The sequence below is a fragment of the Homo sapiens genome, chromosome 14 (assembly GCF_000001405.40).
Source record: "Homo sapiens chromosome 14, GRCh38.p14 Primary Assembly".
NCBI classification, from domain to species: domain Eukaryota; kingdom Metazoa; phylum Chordata; class Mammalia; order Primates; family Hominidae; genus Homo; species Homo sapiens.
This window is the reverse complement of record NC_000014.9, coordinates 88,822,888-88,846,150: the sequence shown is the minus strand read 5'-3', so window position 1 is coordinate 88,846,150 and position 23,263 is coordinate 88,822,888. Positions and strand designations below refer to the sequence as shown.

Here is a 23,263-nt window from a genome sequence, read left to right as displayed (position 1 = left end):
ATTTTTTGTAGAGACAGGGTTTCGCCACGTTGCCTAGGCTGGTCTCGAACCCCTGGGCTCCAGTGATACACCTGCCTCAGCCTCCCAAAGTGCTGGGATTCAGCCACTGAGCCACATATTTTCTGTTCAGAGAGACTTCAATGACCACTCCCCCCTCCATCCAAAATAGCATCCTCCCCCACGTCATTATTTATTCCCTTATCTGCTTTCCTGCTTCTTTGTTGTTACAGTACTCATTAGCCCATAAGACTTCATACATTTTAAAGTTTGTTTCTATTCCTTGCCCAACCAGAATATTATCTCTAAAAGAGCAGAGACTTTGTCTGTCTGTTTCACTGTGTGATCTCAGGGCTGGAACTGTGGTTCAAACATACATTGGATGAAAGAATAAATGCCCCTGATATGCATTAATCTTCCAAATACAAGAGTATCACTTTATGATACTCTAGTAATTTGAGATTTACTAATTTATGAAATGGAATAGCATTCTAATGCTTTTTAATTACAGTTTGACCATATAATTTTATATATCATCATGCTGAAAGCCCCTCACCAGCTTTTTATGAAGTTAAAATGGCTGACTTTTATTTACAGAAGTGTGCATGGTTTCTCAGCTGTCCCAACCTTCATTTTTTCTTTTCCCTACATAACCACATCTATGAACACCACATTCTATACATGTGGCCCAGGCTGTCCCCTACATTTCAATGTCACATCTCCCAACACATGCAATGGTATCTCCACTTAGATAGCCTTTTGTCATTTCAAGCTCAAAACGCCTTCAAGTCACTTAGTCAGCTTCTTTACAAACTGACTTCCTTCCCTAATTATCCCATTTCTGCCAATAAAACTATCACTCTTCTCACAGCATCTCTAGGAGGCAAATTTGACCTGTCTGTCTTTCCTTTGTCCCTAGCATCAAATCTATCATCAAGTTCTGTCACTTCCTTTTTTAAAATGTCTCTGTGGAACTCCAATTTTCTAGGATAAGGACGATTTAGTGATCATTCCATATCTCTTTCTTGTTTTTGCCCTTTCTTTACATTTCTTTTTCCTCCTTTCCATACATTCTACTTATTTTCATGGATCTTTACTAATATCATCCCTTCTGAATTTTTCCCTTTCCTACTTGGTAACAACTTCACAGTTTGACAATTACCTCTTTAACTATTTCATTTATGTCCATTTTATTTCTTCAGCTAGATTACATGGCTTGTAGAGGCAGGAAAAAGTATCATATTTTTTATTAGTTCTCCTAGTGTATAGCTAGTGGTTGACACATAGAAAACACAATTAAGGGGATGGCTATGGTGGCTCACACCTGTAATCCCAGCACTTTGGGAAGCTGAGGCAGGAGGATCACTTAAGGCCAGAAATTCAAGACCAGCCTGGGAAACATAGGGAGAGCATGTCTGTACAGATAATTAAAAAAAAAAAAATCAGCTGGGCATGGTGGCACACGCCTATAGTCCCAGCTACTTGGGAGGCTGAGATGGGAGGATCGCCTGAGCCTGGGAAGTCAAGGCTACAGTGAGCCGTGATAATACCACTGCATTCCAGCCTGGGTGACAGAGTGAGACTCTGTCTCAAAAAAAAAAGAAGAAAAAAAGAAAACACAATTAAGGAAAACATTTTTATTTTCCTAAATGCTTAATGTATGGATATAAAGCCTTTTTCCTGGAACTAATAGGAAAATGAGAAAACATGCAATCAGACACTGTAGAATGAACTGCATTTGATTTGACCAAAGTTGTTCCATTATTGCTCATTTGCATATAAGTATGCAAAAATCAAAACAATTTGAGAAGTCATACGCATATAACTTTAAAATTCTCTGTTAAGAGGCTATGAAGACGATTCCCTCTACTTTTGTATGTTTGAAATCTTTGATCATAAAACGTTAATGATGGGGAAAAGGACACACCACAAAAATAACAGAAATATGCATGTTAGTAAACCTATAATATACTATATGGACTAAGGAAATAAACAGATCAACAACACCATTAGCATAAAAACTATAACTTTAACACAAGCATGTTATGCAGTATTCTCAATAACCTGTATCTTCCCATTTATTGGAGATCTACATACTCTATGAACCAAGCATAGTTCTTATCACTTGTATATTTATACACATTTTCCCACAGAAACTGAGGGTGGATTTTAAAGTATTAGTAGTTCTCCAATCTTTAATAATTTCATCTGTTTATAAGGTCAGAAATAGAATATTTCAGAATCTAAACTTCCAAAGTCAGAAAAATTACAATAAAAGAAAATAGCATGAATTCAAAACTTACAGTCTTAACATCATTTTCATGATGAAAGATATACTCAAACAAAGCCTGTGAAGAAAAAAGTGTCAAAAATACGTTAGATTTTTTTTTTTAATTTGCTGTTAACAAAAGTACTCTAAAGCCCTGGATTTATAGATAAAAGGGCCTATCCATCTTTTGTTACTATCACTCATTTTAAAATATTACTATTTATAACTGATTCTGGTTTTAACAGAATACAAACTGGAATGCTCAAAGAATTAAACTTTTTTTCGTATTATGTATTTTATTAGAAAGACAATTGAAAAATTTATTTCTTAAAGACCAACTTCAGAATTGTCGTAAAACAGATGCAGACAATTCTTTATATTCTCTACATATATTATACAGTGATTATGATATTAATAATGATAATTTAGACATAAAAAAACTGGAAGTTTCTACTGAAACAAAGTAGAGTACAAGGGTAAAGCAGGGTGTTTTTTGCTTAATTTTTAAAGCTATTTTTCCTTATATGGTATTCATAGTAACTCTATGATTCAGAATATTCAGGTTTCTTTAGCAGGGTGCTACTCAGCTAAGCTGGACATTGGAATCACCTGGCGGTGGGGCACATATCAGACCACTTAAATTAAATCAGAGTTGGGGGGATGGCAAAGCCCTGACCTTATATTTTTTAAAGCCCTCAGATAACTCTCATGTACAGCCAGGGCTAAGAACAATTATTTCCAATATTTCACTCAACTCCTCTAAACAAATAAGCATTTACTCTTATTGGTACTACCTTTTTCCATAATACCATCTTGTTACACTTGCAAAGAGGCTAACAGCCCTGGAAAATATCAAGGTTACTAACAAAGAAGACTTGGAGGCAACCAATTTTTTAAAAAAATCAAGACAAGGCCTTTCTTTAAAAAAAAAAACAAACCTATAACAATCCTTCCATTTGTTCTGTTATAAAGAAACAAAAGTTAAGAGTGCAATTGGTGCTACTACTGCCATGAAAATGACGTTACAGCATCAAAGACAGTGTCATAGAGTCACCCTAGACACCCCAAGCAATATGCCTTTATTAAAAATGACTCCTTTTGGGTCAAGGCAAGCTGGGGGCCAAAGACAGAAAAACCTGGCATTATTTCTACAACACACTAAAAAAGCACAAAATCTAGTTCAGGCTAAATCTAGTAACAGACCAGATCTGTCCTGGATGCATCTTAATTTAATTGAGAAAAATGCTTCCACTGACTGACTCTCTGGTCAAAAAATAGCAATGGTATCAACTAGCCAGACAGTCCCTTCAAGTAAGCGACCTTAAAGGGTAGGGAACCAGATATTCCACATGAGTTGCTTTCACTACTCCACTCTCATAAAAGAAAGGGAAGTAAGGATAGCTTTACAATTTTACTAAATGAAGTCAACAGGATTGCTGCTGAACAAGAATTTAAGAAAAAAATCAGCAGCAATTATTACTGGCTAATTCCCTGTCTACCAAATGGCATCTTTTTTTCAGACTTAAACTTAAGTCTGTACAGCTAGTGTCCATTTTAATTTTCTCTAGAGTGTTTGGTATTTAGTAAACACATACGTTAAACACCATTAGAACTGAGATTAGGAATGAGCTCAGCACTTATGCTCAGAGATTTCAGCTAAAAACCTGAGCTAGGCTTAAATTAGTTTCTGGAAGATAAGTGCTCCTGTCTCTGAATTATTGCAAGCTCACCCTCAAGGTTTATATACTGAAAAGGTCATGGACACCTTCCTTTATTTTTCTTTTTCTCTTTCTCTCCCTCTGCCTCTCTTTCCCTTTCTCCCTCTCCTTCTGCCTCTCATTTTCTCTTTAATTTAAAGGAGCATTTAATCTTTGAGTAGTGATAATTACTAATGTGGTTGGCATGCCACTATGTGGTTTCAGTAATCCTTTTTGAGATGCCTGATAAATTACTAATTAGGAGTACATAATTTTTATCATCCTTTGACAGTCCTAAAAAACCTACAAGGATAGAAAATTATTTCTCTGAGAATAGTCCAAGCTAAAAAGGAAAAAAATACGTACATATACAGATGACTTCTTAAGCTTCATTCTACAAAGATGATGCTGCATACCTGCTTTCTTTGTTACAAATTACTACTCTTTATCAAGGGAAAAGAATTTCCTATAATAATGGTATATGTACTTTATTTCTGACTGACCTTCCTTAACTCAATTAACTCAAAGACTAAGAGTAATTTTACATATAAAACATTTCCACTTCAATAAAGACATGGCCTTTCCTTCACAAGTTTTTATTCATTTTCTAATTTGTCATTATCATCATACGTGTAATATTACTTCATAACTCAAAATCATTTTAAGTACATACCTTTGCCAACTTAGGTTTCTGGGAATACTTTGTTAAATTCAGCCTAGATAAATTTATAAATGGTCCATCAGGACTTGTAAGCATGGAAGCCTACAGAGGAAAAACAATAGACCAAGAGATCTGAAACTTTCTCTTGAAATGTAAACAAGTTTAATATGCATAAAAATATAAAGGCAACATAAATAAAAATAATCACCTTCAAAAATCTTCCATATAATTCTCCACTATAACAACAGGGGAAAATGATATACCATAATATAAAGCTACTTTGGTAATACCAAAGTAATACAAGGCTATGGGAAAGCTGATAGAATTTACCGTTCCCAGCCTGACAAATCTTCCGGAGGAGCTGGTGATAGGGCGGGCTGTGTAGGCGGTTCTGGGTGTTCTGATAGCCTGTTCCATAGTGCCTGGCCTTCCACTCTGCGTGCTGGGCCTGAGGAAACCTGTAATGGGTCTTCCAGCTTGTGTGATTGGCCTGTGAAGATTATAAATTGTTATAATACAAAGAAGATCATTTGAGGAAAGACTCTCATACAGTCTGATCAATATTTAGTGGCAGAGGTTATGAAGCAGAAGTACATACCTAACGGCCTGGCTAGGCCCTCCTGTCTGATTAGTTCCAGGGAGTTTCAAAGACGTTCCAGGGCCTAGGAGACAAGATGGCTAATACAATTTATATATTATCTATTAATCTGTAAAAACTGTAAGCTAATACAATTTTCAGAATTGCGCTGGCCTGGTGAAAAAGACATTAATAGCAAGAAATGTATTTTAGGGAGATGTGTTTTAGACTAATATTTAATGAGTACCTATCATGTTACTTATGTCATCACATTTAATCATCACATTAAGTCTGTAAAGTAGGTAGTATTAACCTATTTAACAAAGGTTCACAGAATTAAGTAAACAGGTCAACCTATTAGTAGGGCTGGGATTTAAACTCAAGACTAACAGGCTCCAAAGTTCAAAATAATGGTTCTATCTTCATAGTTCAATTATTTCTCATACAAACTTCTCCCAATAAAAGATAATTTACCCACAATATCTAGAATTTAGATATTTTTAATTCTAAAAGAACAAAATAATGGTAAAGAAAGATATATTAACATAAAAATATGTATTTTTTTCTCAATTTCTATTTGAAGGTTTAAAATAGCTATTACCTTCCAAAAGATATAAATGACTGAGAACTATAATTACCAGCAAGACCACCATATGTCCTGGTTATAATTCAATACCATTTTTTTTTTAAGGCTAGTCAAGTAAAGCAGTGGGAGTGAAGAAGGAACAAAGAAATCTGTAATGAGTTGTGATCAATTAGTTGTAAACAACACTCTTAGATCAGCCATTATCCAATACCATTTGTACCACCACATCTCCAAGCTGGGGACTGTGCCTCTGTGACAATCCCAACAGACACTCACAGCCCAGCATATCACCTCATTACCTCACATTATGATTTAGAGCAAATCATGTTCGATTATAAGAATAAAGTGATGTTTTCGAACGACCTTTTTTTAAAGTGCTCTTAGAACACCTCTGTTGTTTGGATACTTCCCAGATAAACAATATTCTGATATATTAGACAAGTAGTTCAAATAGAATGTACTTTTATAAATTTTTCCCATATGATCAGCAGTTGAATGTAGGTATAAATTATTTCTAAAATGCATAATATAGCTTGTATCAGAAAATTGTTATACATCAATCTCATACCTTAAGTTTAAGATAACTGAATTGTGGGGAAAAAGCCTTTGTACCATAAGGCAGAACAGAAACCATTTACTTGAAGTAATGGTTTTTTCATCATTTTTGTTTCATGTCTATAATGTTTATATATATAAAGTGTAGAAATATATAGGCATATATATTCCTCTTATACACAGTATTCTTCCTCTTAATGGTATTTCATTAACTTAACTGAAAACCCAATACTTACGTGGAACTTGAGCTATAGCATTTTCATCCAGCATCATTTCTGCAATTCCTTCCTGATCTACATCAATTTCATCTATGTATACCATTTCTGTTAGCGCTCTTGCTTTTAAGATCCAAGCTGCCTAAAACCCATGGATAAATAAAACATATATTAAAATAGCATTAGAAATACTACACAGCTTATAGAAATAGCCATCCTTCATTGTTGTTATTTCATTTTATATTAAACATGTTTACCTCTTAACACATTATTTTAATTTAAAGGGCCATGTCAAAAACTAATACAAGAAGCCATCATTATTAATCAAGAAACAACCAATGTATCAATTACATAGTAAATAGAAGTGGGGTAATTACCTGGTAGTCTTCTATCACTCCTTTTTATAAATAAAAAGATAGATCTTTAGAGAAAATTTTACTAAAATAATAATTTGAAAACAAATGAATAAAGCTACAACCACATTGTTCTTTCTGCCTTCCTCCTTCAAGGTCAAGTCCTTTATTATAAAGCCTTCCCTGATTTTCCAGTTCTAAACCTATTACACACTCTTGTCTTTCTCAGAGACTTCTCTTTATGCCTCTATTATTACACACTTAACCATATTTGAAAAACACTCTAGCAAACTTTTATATCTTGTTCACTTTGGAATTTTCCATAATATCTATGGTTTTTGTAGACAGTAGGTATTCAAGAAATGTTGGTTGAACTGAACTAAGATCAATTTATCCGATTCCAATAACGAAACAACACTGGTTGCTTTGTGATCTAGTCAGTAGAAAACCTGCTAGATAATGAAAAAAAGGGAAAAGCTAATTAAGAAATCTAAACTGGCAAATATTTTATCAGCTTTGCTTTACCTTGAAAAATTCAATGTAAACATGTACACCATTCAATTTCTTATTAAACATATGAAATTGTTTTATTTGAAATTTCTACCTTTCCTTTACTACAGAATAGAGGCAGAAAACAATAAAGCTTGGTGTGCTGTGGAGGATTTGAAAAGAAGGCAACTCTTGAAGCTGCAGCATATTAGTGACTCTAGAGCCTAGAGGAAGTAGCAGCAAGGGAAATTTGGGGGCATTAGGCTCAGTATACTAGGAATATATGGCTGTCAAGCAGGCTCAGTGAAGGCCAAGGGACTGCGAAAGGAACAGGTGAGAGCTACAGGAGGTCCAGAAAGTCCCCACGTAAAGAACTCAAGATGCATTCAGTATATATATTCATTGAGCACCCCCTAATTAAATACCAGCAGGCTAGGTTCTGATAAGGAAACATGAGAAGATTAAAACACGGATCCTAATTTCCCTGAACACATCACCTACTGGGTGAAATATGACAGGTGACAAGTGTGTGGTTTTATAGATGTTGGAAAGCAAAGATCCTTTTGTGAGCTCAAGTAATTGGAATGCATTCTATGAACATTTTTTTAAAAACAAAAAAAAGAATAACATCATGCGTTCATTTTAATGGGAATAAAGATGGCTGCCTCTACAACATATTTAGGTTCCCAAAGTGAAAATACATTTGGTTAGATGATTGGCTTTTGGCTTGCACTTTTCTGGTTGAGGTTTACTGGATTATTTAAAAATTTAGAACAAACTGTTTTGAATGTTATGTATGAATTTAACACAATTAGATGAGTAGAATATAGACTCAAAAAACTAACTTATTTGTAAAAAAATTAAAAAAAAACAATTCCTATTGGAACTCCAATTGGAACTGTGAGAGCCAACAAAGTATAGAAAAAAAATCTCAGGTTTTCACTCATCAAAGATCAGGAACAATACCATATCTATACAACTGTTCCCAGGGATCGGGGAAGTCCTCAATGGCTTGAGCTAATGTTCTAATTTAACTTCAAAGATGGAAATAGGCAATACTGATTTATATTAAATCTCTACAGGTCATACTGCCCTGCCAGTATCTGACAGCTTTGATTTTTCAAAAGAGCATTCTTTGCTCAGCACTCTCTGGTGGACAGGAAGGACTACAGCATTTTCTGTTGGAACAGCAAAGCACAACATGGGCTCTGCTTGTTCATTCCCATATTACCAGGGGGCACCTACTGCATGCTACATCCTGAGTATACAAAGAGGAGTAAATCATAGTCCTAGTTCTAACTGGAAAGAATTTCCATGTAATGGGAAAAATGTAATAACAAAAATGAAAAACAAAAAGAAGTGTGTGATAGAACAGAGGAAATGTGTCCAGCTACCTGGGAGTGGAAGGAAGGGTAGAAGTGAAGAATTGGGCCCAGCGGACAGGCAAAGTGGACAATAGGCAGGCTAGCTAGAGAGCCTATGGCATGTTTGGAAACTCTAGGAGAATTGAGTGTAGGTGAAGAATGAGGGAAGAGGTTGGAGAAAAAGTCAGGAGCCAGGTGATGGATCCTGTATGCCGCAGTGAGGTATGTAAATTTTTATCCTGATGAGAAGCTAATGAGGCTTCAGAACTATGATTTGGAGTCCTACCTAAATCAAGTTTATTTATTTATTTATTCATTTACTTTTTGAGATGGAGTTTTGCTCTTGTTGCCCAAGCTGGAGTACAATGGCGTGATCTCGGCTTGCTGCAACCTCCGCTTCCTGGGTTCAAGCAATTCTCCTGCCTCAGCCTCCCAAGTAGCTGGGATTACAGGCACGTGCCACCACGCCCAGCTAATTTTCTGTATTTTTAGTAGAGATGGGGTTTCACCATGTTGGTTAGGCTTGTCTCGAACTCCTGACCTCAGGTGATCCACCCTCCTTTGCCTCCCAAAGTGCTGAGATTACAGGCGTGAGCCACCATGCCCAGCCTTAAGTTTTAAACATCAAGTTTTATCATTATAGCAGCATTTATATAGTTGGTTATTAATATATTTTACTTTTAACTATTTTCAAATTCATACTGTTATTTCATAGTCCAATTCATCATGATTCTTGACATCCATCCCCCAACTGACGTCTTAAATATTAAAGAGTTAGAAATTTTTTATATTAGGCTAAGCAAAATATAGAAAAGAAAATCCACTCTTCCTTCCCTGCAATATGAATAAATACTTCCGAAGTCAAAGTCAAATAGGAACTTTTTTTTTTTTTTTTTTAAGACAGGCTCTCACTCTATCTCCCAGGCTGGAATGTAGTGGTGCAGCCTCAACCTCCAGAATTCAGGTGATCCTTCCACCTCCCACCTCAGGTCTCAGGTTCCAGAGTAGCTAGGACTACAGGTGTGTACTATCACACCCAGCTTTTTTTGTTTGTTTGTTTGCAGAGATGGGATCTCACTTTGTTGCCCTGGCTGGTCTTGAACTCCTGGTCTCAAGTGATCCTCCTGCTTTGGCCTCCTAAAGTGCTGCGTTTACAGGTGTGAGCCACTGCACCAAGGCTAGGAATATCTTTTTAAAATTTTTATTCCGTAAGAATCCACTTTTTCAAAAAGATAGAAAAATATTAATTTAATTTCTAAAATATGATTCTTAAGAAACAATGGTATGAATTTTTGATATTTACAGCTCTAGAATAAAATCTACTCAGACTGTTATTCAATTTTAAATTTTATCAGTGTTTGAGAAAATTAATCTTCCTGAGTTCTCTTCTGTCCTAACAAAAATGACCTTGAAAATCACATATCACTGCTTGATTAAACATCAGACTGTTTTCAAAGAACTGCTCCTGGCAATGTGAACAATTCTTGAGATTTTAATGAAAACAGCAGAAGGAGCTTTGGCTTTAAAAAAATAATAATTTTTTTTTACTTTGGAAACAAGCCAAGTATGTTTCACATCCCTAAAATCCTCTGCCTGTTTTAAAAAAACAAACCAAAAAAAAGTTTAAAACTAATCAGTGATTAAAATAAAATGAATAACAAAGCACACACAGTAATCCCAAACTACCCCTTAAAACTAAATAAAAATATAAATTTGCCTTATCAGATATGTTTACTTATTAACAAATGGGAGGGTCACACAGTTTTTAAAAAATAGTTTATGTAAATTTATTTAAATATTTATGTATTAGAAGTACCATAATATCAATAAAAATAAGAATTGATGCTTTTGGAACTTTGTTTTTTAAGGGAAAAGCACAGATTCTCCCAAACCAAATGAATAATCATATCAATTTTTCCCTTTTTATCTGTGAAACACAATCCCATCTCACTCACCAACTGAGTTAGTCTATAGGACATTACTCCTGAAGCAGATACTTGCCAGCAAACATCAGGAAAATATTGACTCACTCATTCCATCCACTGTGACACTAGTTCAGTTTTAGTTATAAAAATAAACAGATGAAGGGGTTAAAACTCTGCTGACTGAGCAAAGCATGTTTAAATTATTCTGTTACTCTTAATACAGAATGCAAGGCCAGTAGATTAAAGCATGTAAGAAACAATTTTAGGTTATTATTAGAATAAGGCTATGAAAGGAACAGTCTGTCTGACCTGATTTAGCATCATAAGACTCAGTAACTATGGCCACTCTGCCTACTCTATGAAAATGAAAACTTAGGCACAAGATACTGAATTGTTATTGTATATAGCCTCATTCCTTTTGAAGTTGTAACAGTGTGCAAAAATAAGAAATTCCAAAAGTGGAAATAGTAAGGCCAAAAGAATCTAGTCAGCCTTGTTCCCTTTTGTATCATTATCCAGTGAATAATTAAGTCTATACAAACAGAACAGGAAAATAATGCCAAATACAGATTTTTCATGAGTCCTTGTGCTAGTTTAAAGCTCTTAAATGCCATTTATAGTTTTAAAACCATTTCTACAATGCAAATTATTGATGTTTTAAATTTTAATCAAAATCTTCCAAATTTCCTGAGAACAAAATCCACAGTATTTATAACTTTGATCCTTCTTGAATGACTTGTACCCATATTATGCAAAAAAAAAAATAGTTTTGCCCCATCTATCAGTTTGTAAATCAAGATTATGAACATTCAAAAGACAAATGTCAGCCTTTTAAAGAACACAGTGCCACATTTTAACCTATTTACAGTGTGTGTTTAATACTACACAAGCCTCCATAAGAGTACTTTGTAAATTGCTTTTTATTCTAAAAGGTTTGCTAATTACACATATGGACCCCTAATAAGGTTCAAGTCTTTTATTTACCTAAAAAAACCGCTGTTAACATTCCATCTCGCTTGGTAGGGCTAACACCTGGCAACATTTAAGCTCTCTGATTTATAACTCTGCACAACTTCTCTCCTTAGTCCCAGACTCACTGGCAACTCTCCTGGATTAAAAGTATCACTGGCCAGGTGTCCCCCTCCTCTCTCCCAGGGTTTCCTCCCAATTCATTCTCTTGTGTTTTATCCAGTTAGCAAGGCTCTAGCTGCCTCCTATCCTTATCCAAACTGATTTGCTCGATGTGACTGTCTGGCCAGTGTCCCTTTCTTCTTCCCTCACTGTGGCAGCCTCCTCCCTCTTAGAGCCACCAGGTCAGTTAAAACCAAGACCTTCCCAAGCACAGTCCACTCTTGACTCAAGACATGCCATCCCATCCATCACAGTCTTTCAGACATTTGTCATTCCGCTGACTCTCCCGCTCCCTTTCTAAGCCCTTGGTTCCCCTCACCTCCTTCTTTATTTTTCATATCCTTCTAATCCATCTTGGTCATTTCCATTTAAGCTCCAAGTCCCAATGAGTAGACTGCATTATTAGTTCTACAAGGCTATCAATATACACAAAAGTATTGAAAATATAATCATTTATTTACATAAGAAGGCACAGAATGTCTGACAGATATGGCTAATTTTATAAACCCACAGGAAGATATGCAGCAAATTTTCTAATCTATAGCAACAACTAAGCAATAGCATTAAAGAATTCTCTAAACTAAAGGTTGCAGCTAAACCTTTCTTTACCTGATGCACTGGCAATTCAGGATCTGGTTCCTGGAAAGCATTAAGAAGGCAGTAAACAGTTTTAAGAAATACAGTTTCTAAAATAAAAAGTCCTAAGGACCAACCAAGTATTTGTAGGTGAACTCTAACTCATTCAATAAGAATCCAAAAAATTAACTTTAGTCTTCCTACAGAAGTGTTCTCAAGAGTTGTGTAAAATGAATATACATTGAAGAATGCTAAATTTTCAATGATCAGAAAATTCTAATTAATCTAACCTCATTCAAAGTGCAAAGAGATGATAACTACTTGTTTAATGAACACACAATATATCAGAAATTGAGAATAATCCCATAACTATACCAAGGAAATATTTCCTTTTATTCAAAAATAAGTTCACGGTGGTTAAAACATTCAGACTTTAATCACTTAAGGAGAAGAAGGAAAATCCACATAACACAAACCCTTCAGATAAACTCAGCATCTGGGTTTTTCTGTACAAATTAAATAGAAACCCACTGGTTAAAAAAATCAGACTTATAACAAATTTATTTATAAAACATCTACACTTACATGTCTGTCTAGTCAGCAATGTCTGTTGAGCACTCAATCTGTTTTACTGGGGAAAGTACTAAGAAACAGAAAAAGGAAAAAAGATCCTTGCTTTCTACAGCTCTAAATCCAAAAAGAACACCTCAAATATTTTTTAAGAATATATTCTTGGTACAAGCAATGTGCAAACCATATGGTCACCATGCAAGGACAGGTAATTTATTTAACATGACGCATGGTAGGAACATGAGAGGAAAAGGTTAAGTTAGGCTAGAAAATGAGGGCCCCAAAGGATGGAAGTTACAGAAGATGTGGCAATCAACTGAACCGAACACAAAACAGCAACTAGAGAACACATAGCAATTGGAGGTTTTCAACTCCAGTGCACCTACCAAGGATGTAGAAAAAGTATAGATTTCCTAAATACAGTCCAAACTTAAGGAAACACACCAATCCAGGGAATGACATGCCAGATGAAAGAAGTAACACATTCTATTCTTTCTTTCTTCTGTTTACTTGTATACATATCTCTATAGCCCATTATCTCATTTGAGTCTCATAACAACCATCTGAGGAAAGCAGGTAAGTATTATCTACTTTACAGATAAGGAAACAAATTCAGAGATGTTAAGTAATTTGTTTAAGGTCACACAAACGGTTGAGGGAATCAAATGCTCCTTCTTGCCAGTGCCTCTTGGAGATTAAAAAAAAAAGAGAGTTGGACATAGTAAGGCAGGAATGAAAGGTAAAGTTTAGGAGAGATACAAGATAAATCCAATATATTATAGAAAACTGAGGGAGAAAGTTTACTAGAGGTGATTGTAGACAATGCTTGAAAAGGAAAAAACAGCTAAAGGAGACAGAAGCCACTGATACTGGATGCTGTGATTTGCCAAGGGCAGGTAGATTCCTCCAGTGACACAAAATGAAACCACCAGCTCAGCCTCAGAGGATTTCTGCTCACTGAGGAAAGTCTCCGCGATCTCTCTGTCTTGTTCCTCTGCCCTTCAGGGATACATTTAGGGCTGATCATGTGGATGAAGAGTGTGTAGGGAAATTACAGGAAATCATCAATGTGCAGGTCAGAAGAGAAAATGAGAGGCCTAATGAGTAGGGAGGTGCAGAGACAGGTGAGGGATTGCATTGAAGGAAAATGGAGACCAGGCCTAAGTGGGTATGAGGCCAAGAACACATTAATTCCACAACATTCTAGAGGGGGAGGCACCTAAATTACAATACAATGTGTCAAATACTATACTCACATTGTGGTCAAATTATAGATGACTTAGGTGAACAAAAGAAAAGCAGAAGACATGGAAGATAAGAGAGTCAGAGAAGGGGGAGATTATTCTGGAAATTATTGAGTGCCAATGATTTATGAACTATATTCAACATCCTTTCACCATCCATTTCACTGGACATCTTCCTCAAAAATGCTTTTCAGATTCCCAGCAATCCTTTAAGAAAAATATAGATGATAGAATCCTGCATGCAAATATCTGTAGGTATACAGACAACAGCAGCTAACATTTTTTATCACTTACCACATGTTCATGAGCCTTATAACACCCTCTGAGTTATAGGTATACTATCATCACCATTTACAGATGAGAACACTCAGAGCAAGATGTTACAGGACCTGTGAGCCCCAAAATTGGGGCTTAGCCCAGGAGGGTTCTTGGCTCTGCCAAGGAAATAATTCCAGGGTGAGTCAGTGGTATTAGACAGCAATCCTTTATTGGCTGGTACTGCTCCTTGCAGAGGAGGGCTAACTCATAGGCAGTGTAGCCAGAATCAGCAACTATGGGCTCTTGGCAACTGTATTTATACTCATGAAAACCCACTTTCAATTACATGCAAATTAAGGGGTGGGCCAATGCAAATTAGGGAACAAGTTATTTAGAACTTTCTAGGAAAGGGGCAGTAACTTATAGGTTGTTGTCATGGAAAGAGGTGGTAACTTCTGGGTCATTGCCATGGCACTTTTAAACTGTCATGGCAGCTGGTGGGAGGGGTGTTCTACTGATGAGCAGTGAGGGCAGCGAGGGGTCGCTTTCCTTGCCATCTGCTGGTTTCTTCACTTTAACCTGTCTAGACTAGATCCTATTTTGGTCAGCCGTGTTGTGACCAGAAAACAAGTCCTGTTGGTCTCTTACCTCAAAGGTATAGAGGCAGTATTTGAACCTAGACACTCTGGGCCCAGAGCAGGACTCTGCTGAGTATGTGGGATGACAGCAAGGATGGAACACAGACTACCGTAGGATGTGGAGAGACCAAGGACAGGCATGGCTCTGTGGAGATCCATCAGGAGCAGGACTATGAAGGAAGAGTCGGAATGTTTTAATTAGGAGATAGGGGAAAACTCTTTTTTAAAAATCACTGAGCCTTTCCTCTTTGGGTCGCTCTCAGTTGTAGTTCTGTGATTTAAATTAATCCACCCGTGCAGCTTCACTTAGTCTAGCAAACTATTTCTACAGGTATCAGCGCAGTTGAGCAGAAAGCTCCAGGCTTTGCCCTAGAGTCAGAAGACGTGGGCTAGGCTTGATCCTCAGGGAGCCACTTAGCTGCATGACCTTGAACAAGTCATATAATCTACATTACCTTCTCAAATTAAAGCAATAGTACCTACTTCATAGGAGAATCTTAAGGACTAATAATAAAACCTTGCATTTTTAAGAAAACTTCACAACTTTTAGAGTTCTTTCACATATATTATCATACTTATTCAAGTATAAGCTTAACAGAAGCACCAAACCATCTATTACTCCCCCTTTCAGAACTCAGAACTGACTCCCAGTGATGGAAGATCAAATTAAAACTTCCTCTGAATCTCCCTCAAAGTGGGTAACAGGACATGGAAAGTAGAGTGCCACTTCCTAGAACCAGAAAATACCCATTAGCATCAACTTCAAGTCACATCTGTTTGCTTCCTTCCTTCCACCCTAGGGTTCAGCATTTTCTTAGCTTGTTTCTGTTACTTTAGGGAATTAAATCTCCAGATAATTCTGAATGCAACTTTCTAATTACCACCACTACTTATGCTGGCTAATGAGTCTCCTCAGCTTAAACTGCCGAGTCATTGTTCAAAATTTAGTAATAAAAGAAGGGGGAAAAAGTTTAAGAGAATAGAGGAATTGATGGATTTCAGAAGGTTAGAGAGATCTAGTGACCACGCAGCCAAGTGGGAGTGTAATCTGTGTAATTCAGCAGGAATACAAATTCATAAAATGACCTGCCCCACAGCGTATAGAATCAAAGGATTAAGTCTGGCTAAGTCTCCATGGCCCCAAAGAGGAAACCAATTAGATAATCACACGATATGTTCTTTGGCTTGGATCACCAAATCACTGTCTCAACCAACTACTAACATACAGCTCATTGGGGAGCCCTGGTTTCATGTCTTTCATCTAAGCCAGTCATTTTCAGCCATTTCTCCTCCTTCAAACCATTTACAATAATAACCCCCTCCTCTCTGTAACATCTCTCATTATAAGCAGAGATTGGGGCAAAACGAGAATGTAAGTTAGAAAAAAGTCTTTCTCCCATTCTGATACACAGCTAATGGGTCCCACCCTCAGAATCACCGATTTTAATAATCTGAAAATCTACCAGACACCTACCCCATTAATGAAAGCATATTGTCTTTTAAAAATCCCACTGCCTGAAAAACCTTTACGTTTTATTAACTGTTTAATTATAATGGAGCTAAAAATCAGGACTGGTTTTAAAGCCATGAATCTGACATATGGAACACAAAGAACAGTAAACAGATTAAGCAACTGATCAGGATGATCAACATGAGCTGCAGAAGCAAACATTCTCTCTAGGTCACAGTGCTGTACGGAGAGGACTGTTTTGCATTTCCTCTTTTTATATCTTACAACTTTTAACCACTTTTTCAGTCACGATTTAAAGAACACTTTGAAAAAGATAATGCTTCTCTATGAATTGGTTATTCCTATTATATTTAATCAAAAAAGGGAAATTATAATAAATTAATCAGTTATCTTTCTTTCTTTATTCTTAACAGATCTGAACTTTAATACTCTTCATGCTTACAGACCCCGGCTGGCCTCTGTCCCTCACCATTCTGTGTCTAGAAAAAGCAGTTGAGAACCCATATTCTTCAAGAACCCTTCCCCATTACCAAACACCATATTATTATATTTAATCTACCCTTCAGTTCTTTTGTAGCCAAATTAAAATGTATTACTCTGAAGAAACATGCTGTTGCATAGTACATCATACCTCTCTGGCTAGCCTGACTATCAAAAATAAAATCCAGAAATCCTAATAGAAAATACAAGGCAATAATTAAAGACTTTTGATGATTCTACACCAAAATAGTATCCCTTAAAGGCGAAATAAATGCATATAAATAGTCTTAGAGGTGGCCTTCATCTCAATAAGCTAATGTATCAGGACCAAAATGTTATCTTTTTGAAGCTCCCTGGACCAGCTTATAAAAAGATTAACAAATAACAAATCATTTTTGAGAGGTTTTTCTCATCTGGGAGAAAAATAAGCAAAACCAAAAGTGAAAAATGACATTATTAAAAACAAAAACTATCTTTTGTAATGGGGAGGGGAAAACGTAAGAGCAAAAATGAATCCATTTGGCACTAAGAAGAAATATTTTAATTTCTGGGCTCCTCTATGTGTCCAGGAGTTTCAAATTCACTCCATACTATAATCAGTTTGGTGGCACAGAACAGTAATTCAAATAGTTATAGAGGAAAAGTACTCTCAAATGTCAAAACCTCAGTAAATGCCCATGAGGCTAAAGGGGCATGAAGGTGAACCAGCTAACTGCGGAGCAGAGGACCATCTGCTCACGCTCTGGTCACATTTCTGTTAGCTTTTCATAGATTGTGAATCTCTCCATCATTTAACTTCCTCCACCGAAACAAAGAAAGCACTGTAAGAGATAGCAATGATGATCATTACTATTAGAAACACTCTCCTGGAGGAACCTAGGAAGCATTTTAAAAATTGATTTTTAAAAACTGACCCTCAAAACAAGAATTAAGAATGCCCATAATGAAATTATATTTATTTGAAAAAGTAAGTGTACATTTAAGAACATATGGTGCTGAGAATTAAGGATGGGGCAGGGGAAGACAAAGATCATCAAGCAACTACGACGACCTTCATAGAGAGGAAGCTGACAAATATGAACAACTCCATCAAAACACACACATGAACATGATCGACGCACTCATTCAGCAAATACATATCAAAAGCCCCTGTGTGCCTGACTCTGCATCAGGTGCTTGGGATACCACACAAACCTGCTATTGTGGAGTCATGTTCTAAGGAAAGATAATTTTCAAGCTTGTAATCAAAGGAACTTCCTTAAGCTTCCTTCCTAAAGCTCTTCTTTAATTGCATCAACACTCTAACATAAATATTAATTTTTTTAATGAAGAAAAAGGCAGGATTTCTTCAAGCTTGGGAAAAATCATTCTGGGAAATATTTCCAACATGAAATAACAACTGGGTGCAAAATACAGAAACTGGTGTTACGAAAAACATAGAGTAATAACAGCACAGTGTTCAAAGTTAGGTCAAAGAATGACTAACATGAGTAAGCCCTGTAAACTTTTCAATAGCCCTACCTAGTAACAAAACCTAACTCTGGTAAGATGACATCAAGTTAAACGTCTATTCCTGGTAAAATGCTACTCATTATTCTGGCAATACATACAGTTCAACCATAATAAACTACCTCAACAAAACAAAACAAACAAATAAAACAAATAAAAATTATTAGAAAGGAAAAGAATATCAAATTTCCTCCAGATCTGGTACTGATTCTCTTAGACCTACTCTATATATATTGGAGCTGAACATATCAACCCTTGCTCATAAAAATAAAACAATAACTTTTTTTGAAACTTCTATTCAGGTCTGGTCACAAGCTTTTCGGATAAGGGATACACAATCTGTAGTAAGCACTCAATGAAAGGTCATTGAGATGAATATATATCAAGTCCTGATATCTCAATTTATAGGTGCAATACTGAATGTCACTATGAACTCAAGATTAGAGGGTCTTAACTATTAATAAAAATATTGCTGCTTTGCCTACATTTCCCGATGTACCAACATCTTCCCAGGATAACAGTGAAGATATCTGACCCTTTCCCTGGGTCAAAAAAAAAAAGGAATCCGGTGGTCAAATAAGTTTCAGAACTATTTAATTATTTGGATTAATCAAAAATAGGCAAAATTAGTTTCCTTTTCTTCAAAACTACTCAGAGCCTTTAGGGTGCATCCTGAATCTCCAAGAAGGAACATACATTTCCCAAATGTACTTAATGAGGGAACTTGTTCTCACTGAACAGCTCTTGGGACTACTGTTTCGTGGAACACAGAATGAAAACTACCGTAACTCAATGGAAAAATTAAAATGGCACATAAAGTTCCTGCAAACCATTGTGCCTAGAACAATGTCTGGCACATCAAAGGTTCTTTTTTTGAGACAGAGTCTCTCTGTCGCCCAGGCTGTGGAGTGTGGAGTGCAGTGGTGCGATCTCCGCTCACTGCAAGCTCCGCCTTCCGGGTTCACGCCATTCTCCTACCTCGGCCTCCCGAGTAACTGGGACTACAGGCGCCCGCCAACACGCCCGGCTAATTTTTTCTATTTTTAGTAGAGAGGGGGTTTCACCGTGTTAGCCAGGATGGTCTCAATCTCCTGACCTCGTGATCCGCCCGCCTCGGCCTCCCAAAGCGCTGGGTTTACAGGCATAAGCCACCGTGCCCGGCCACATCAAAGGTTCTTAACAAGCTTCTGTTGTACCAACGTAAAGGGTCAATATTTTGTCACAAGTCCCAAACATATTTGATTGTGTATTTTTTTAAGCAATATCTATAAGATTACTATGCCAAAAACACATTTGGGGGCTGGGCGCGGTGGCTCATGCCTGTAATCCCAACACTTTGGGAGGCCGAGGCAGACGGATCACGAGGTCAGGAGTTCGAGACCACCCTGGCTAACACGGTGAAATCCCGTCTCTACTAAAAATACAAAAAAATTAGCCAGGCTTGGTGGCACGTAACTGTAGTCCCAGCTACTCGGTAGTCTGAGGCAGGAGAATCGCTTGAACCTGGGAGGCGGAGGTTGCAGACAGCCGAGATCGCGCCGTGCCACTGCACTCCAGCCTGGGCGACAGAGCGAGACTCCGTCTCAAAAAAAAATAAAAAAAAATAAAAAAAATTTAAAAAAACCTTGGAAAAATGCTTGTCTACAGAAATATAGTCCTATTAATTAATGTGAACTAACAACAGAACCTAGCTTTGTATTACCACTAACGTAGGCTGTTCTAAGAGAGATGTACTATCTGAAAGACAAAATGTTCATCTCAGCAGGTTATCATCCATCATCCATTTGCTGGGAGCTAAGGCAGAGCCTAGTAACAGCATTCACACTCAGGCCTCCGCTTTTGTAACTCCCTTCAATTTTCCATTTTTTCTAACATCTCCAAGGCAACACCACTAGAGGAAAAGCTAGGGAACTAGAACTACGTAGGTATATTCCGCACTTACTAAAAGCACTGACAAACTGCCGCAGCGCTACTTCTGTTCTCCCATTTTCTCCTTTTTTGCCTATTCCAGGAGCCACCTGCCCACCAGAATTGTACCGCTCACGTACATTGTATACTACCTTTTCCACTCGCTATACACATTACTCTAGTTTAAGTTCTCTTTTCATCAATGCCATCATTCCTTCTTGTAAGGAGCCTTTCTTTCCCATTTCTCCCTCCTACAATTAGAGCTTCCCTTGCCTAGGTAATTTTTTAAATAATGAATGTATCTTTCTCCCTCCTAGATTCTCATTCTTCTAATTTGCATATTTGCCTCAAGCTAAACTCATGGCCTCCTTCACTCTTGGACAACAGTCTAAAGATGAGGTGGGAGGATCACATGTTCGATCCAAAAGGAAGAAGGCAGCTATGTTAACAGGAGGTGGAGAGTCACAGATCTTTGTTTATGCATATTTTTTAGAAATTAACAACGCACACGCTGAGAGCTTAAAGCCCATCAATATGCAAGTATAAACGAATTATCAAAGTTCCTCGTCAAGTAAAGTTCAGGGCTCTCATTCTGGGACACGTATAGGGGAGGGGAGGCTGAAAATTGTGAGGAGGGGGCGGTCATGGCACAGAACTTGCTATCCCCGTGGACGTGGCGGACAGCGGACCCGCTAGTCACAGCTCCACAAGGTCTCGCTCCGGGCGCCTCCGAGGGCCGAACGGTCAGCCCCGCCTCGGGCCTTCCTCCCCGGCCTCCCAACCCGGGGCTGGGATATGCCCCAGACCCCGCAGCCTCAGCGTCAGGATGCACAGGCTGACGGGAGCTGGCCGGTACCTGGTCATAAGGGGACTTCTCCAGCATCTGCGTGCATAGATCGGCGCAGAGCTGGAACTTCCTGCGCCTAAAATAGCTCCAGGCCAGGAGCAGCGGCTCCATCTCCGAGCTCATGGCTGCCGGTGCGGCCAGCGAAGGCCCAGCGCTCCAGGAGAGAGGTGGGCGTGGAGTGAAGAGCTGGCGGCGTCCGACTCTGCCCGGCAACCCGCGACGGCTGGGGCCTTGTCCGAGAGGTGCCCGCAGCGCGCCTGAGAACAGGAAAAAGAAAAACAACCGCAAGCAGAACTCGGCTACAGGGCTTGCCTAAACTTGGTTGGAAAAAGATGTCTACTTTTAAAGGCTACAGGTTTCATTGATTTTGAAAAGAAGGCACCGCGGCTAAACAAAAAGGTAGTGAGTTAGACACCTGCCCCTGGGGTCCCCCACCCTCCCAGGAGGCGCAGCTGCCTAGCAACCGAATGCTCTGCCTGCCCTGCAGGTCCGGAAGAGTCCCTGGAGTTGATCTCTGTCTGGTGTCTGTCCTACTTCTTCCATTCGCTCGTTTCCATCCCTTTCGCTTTACCTTCCGATTCTAGAAATACAAACAAGTAAACAGCTTCCACAGTACCATCCACCCATCAAGACCTAAAGTCCTAAATCCTGAAATTGTCCGCTGTTTCTCGAGGTCCTTCCCACCGAATCTCAACATCTGAACTGCAAGTGGTTTGCTTTTACTCATTTTACAGATGAGAAACTGAGATAGACTCAGAGAAGAGAAATTATTAAAATTGCATTGAGTTAGGGAGCTGGAACTGCAATCTGGTTGACTACAAGTTGCTAATACATTTGTTAATTCGACTCACATGGTGATTCCGGATTGTAAATTGGTGACAGTTTTACCAAACTAGATAATGTGTGCAAAATAATAATAATAATAATAATAATAATAATTTTTAAAAGCTTTGTGAAACATCGTCTCCTGGCACTTGCTGTTTGGCAAGGGTTTACTTGTGCAGAGTGATTTCTTCAAACACAATTCTGACTTTTCTCTAGAAATTTGCACAGATGACAAATATGCTTAAAATTGCAATGGTTATGAAAAGAGAGGTGTGACCGGCTAAATCCAGGTAGGCTTTTCTCAAACCACTGGGGTCTGAGAAAACATTAGACATTCTATTTAATCCACATATTTATATTTTTCATAGGTATTAAAATGAAACTTATGCTTCTAAACTAAGAAATTTATTGTTACCTTTTATTCTCTACTAAGCAGTCTTTCTTGAATTGTTGTATTTTGGAAGTCAGTAATTATCAGGATTGTCATTGTTACAGTTAAGTGTATTGTCATTAGTCTATTTGTGTTCTCCTGGAACTGCCGGTAGAAATGTAATCTCCCTAAAGGTCCTAATGAAGCAGCCCATGGTTTCTGAGTGTCAAATTTTTAAGAACGCACATGCCGACAATTGACAATTGGGCTCAATATTTCACAGCGTCTTTTTGTTTTCTGGTACACTGTAAGCAGATTACTATGTAAGTGATTTTCAACCCTACTAGAGAAAGTGAAGCACAGAGAAACCCTTTAAAAGGGTCAGTTTCACAAATGATGCTAGATCTCAGTTCATAGATCCTTATCTTTTACTCTCTAGCATATAGTCAGATGTTCTAAATAAACTTTTTTAAAGAATAGTTTTCGATTTACAGAAAAGTCACAAAAATAGTAGACAGTTCCCATATACCCAGTTTCTCTATTGTGTGAGATGTTGACATTTGTTTTAGTGTAAGATGATACATTTGTTACAACTAAGGAATCAACAATGGTACATTACTATTAAATAAACTCCACAGTTTATTTGGATTTCAGTAGTTTTCCCTTAATGTTATTTCTCTATTCCAGGATCTCACTTAGGGTACCACATAACATTCGGTTATCATGTCTCCTTCACCTCCTCTGACAC

At 37.6% G+C, this 23,263-nt stretch overlaps 1 protein-coding gene across 11 annotated transcripts in view, besides 1 other annotated feature; it reads right to left on the bottom strand.

Moving 5' to 3' along the window:
* TTC8 (tetratricopeptide repeat domain 8) overlaps nucleotides 1-21,998 on the bottom strand; it is a 56,927-nt gene extending 34,929 nt beyond the window's left edge. For 2 of the 11 annotated variants that reach the window (NM_001288781.1, NM_198309.3), the window contains exons 1-7: nucleotides 21,937-21,998; nucleotides 21,330-21,577; nucleotides 6,579-6,699; nucleotides 5,223-5,286; nucleotides 4,955-5,114; nucleotides 4,637-4,726; nucleotides 2,301-2,345 (exon numbers count right to left, since the gene is read on the bottom strand). In NM_001288781.1, the coding sequence (NP_001275710.1) occupies nucleotides 2,301-2,345; nucleotides 4,637-4,726; nucleotides 4,955-5,114; nucleotides 5,223-5,286; nucleotides 6,579-6,699; nucleotides 21,330-21,443 (594 nt within the window). In that variant the 5' untranslated portion in view covers nucleotides 21,444-21,577; nucleotides 21,937-21,998. Of the gene's footprint in view, nucleotides 1-2,300; nucleotides 2,346-4,593; nucleotides 4,727-4,954; nucleotides 5,115-5,222; nucleotides 5,287-6,578; nucleotides 6,700-12,428; nucleotides 12,459-21,329; nucleotides 21,578-21,936 lie in introns of those variants that run through there. The other 9 variants (NR_159362.2, NM_001366535.2, NM_001288783.1 and 6 more) reach the window with 7 other exon arrangements.
* Nucleotides 21,489-21,848: an enhancer, noted in NCBI's record as "active region_8844". NCBI's record gives its function as "activates an Ori minimal core promoter by ATAC-STARR-seq in GM12878 lymphoblastoid cells {active_cell/tissue: GM12878}" and the evidence as "EXISTENCE:reporter gene assay evidence [ECO:0000049][PMID:35858748]".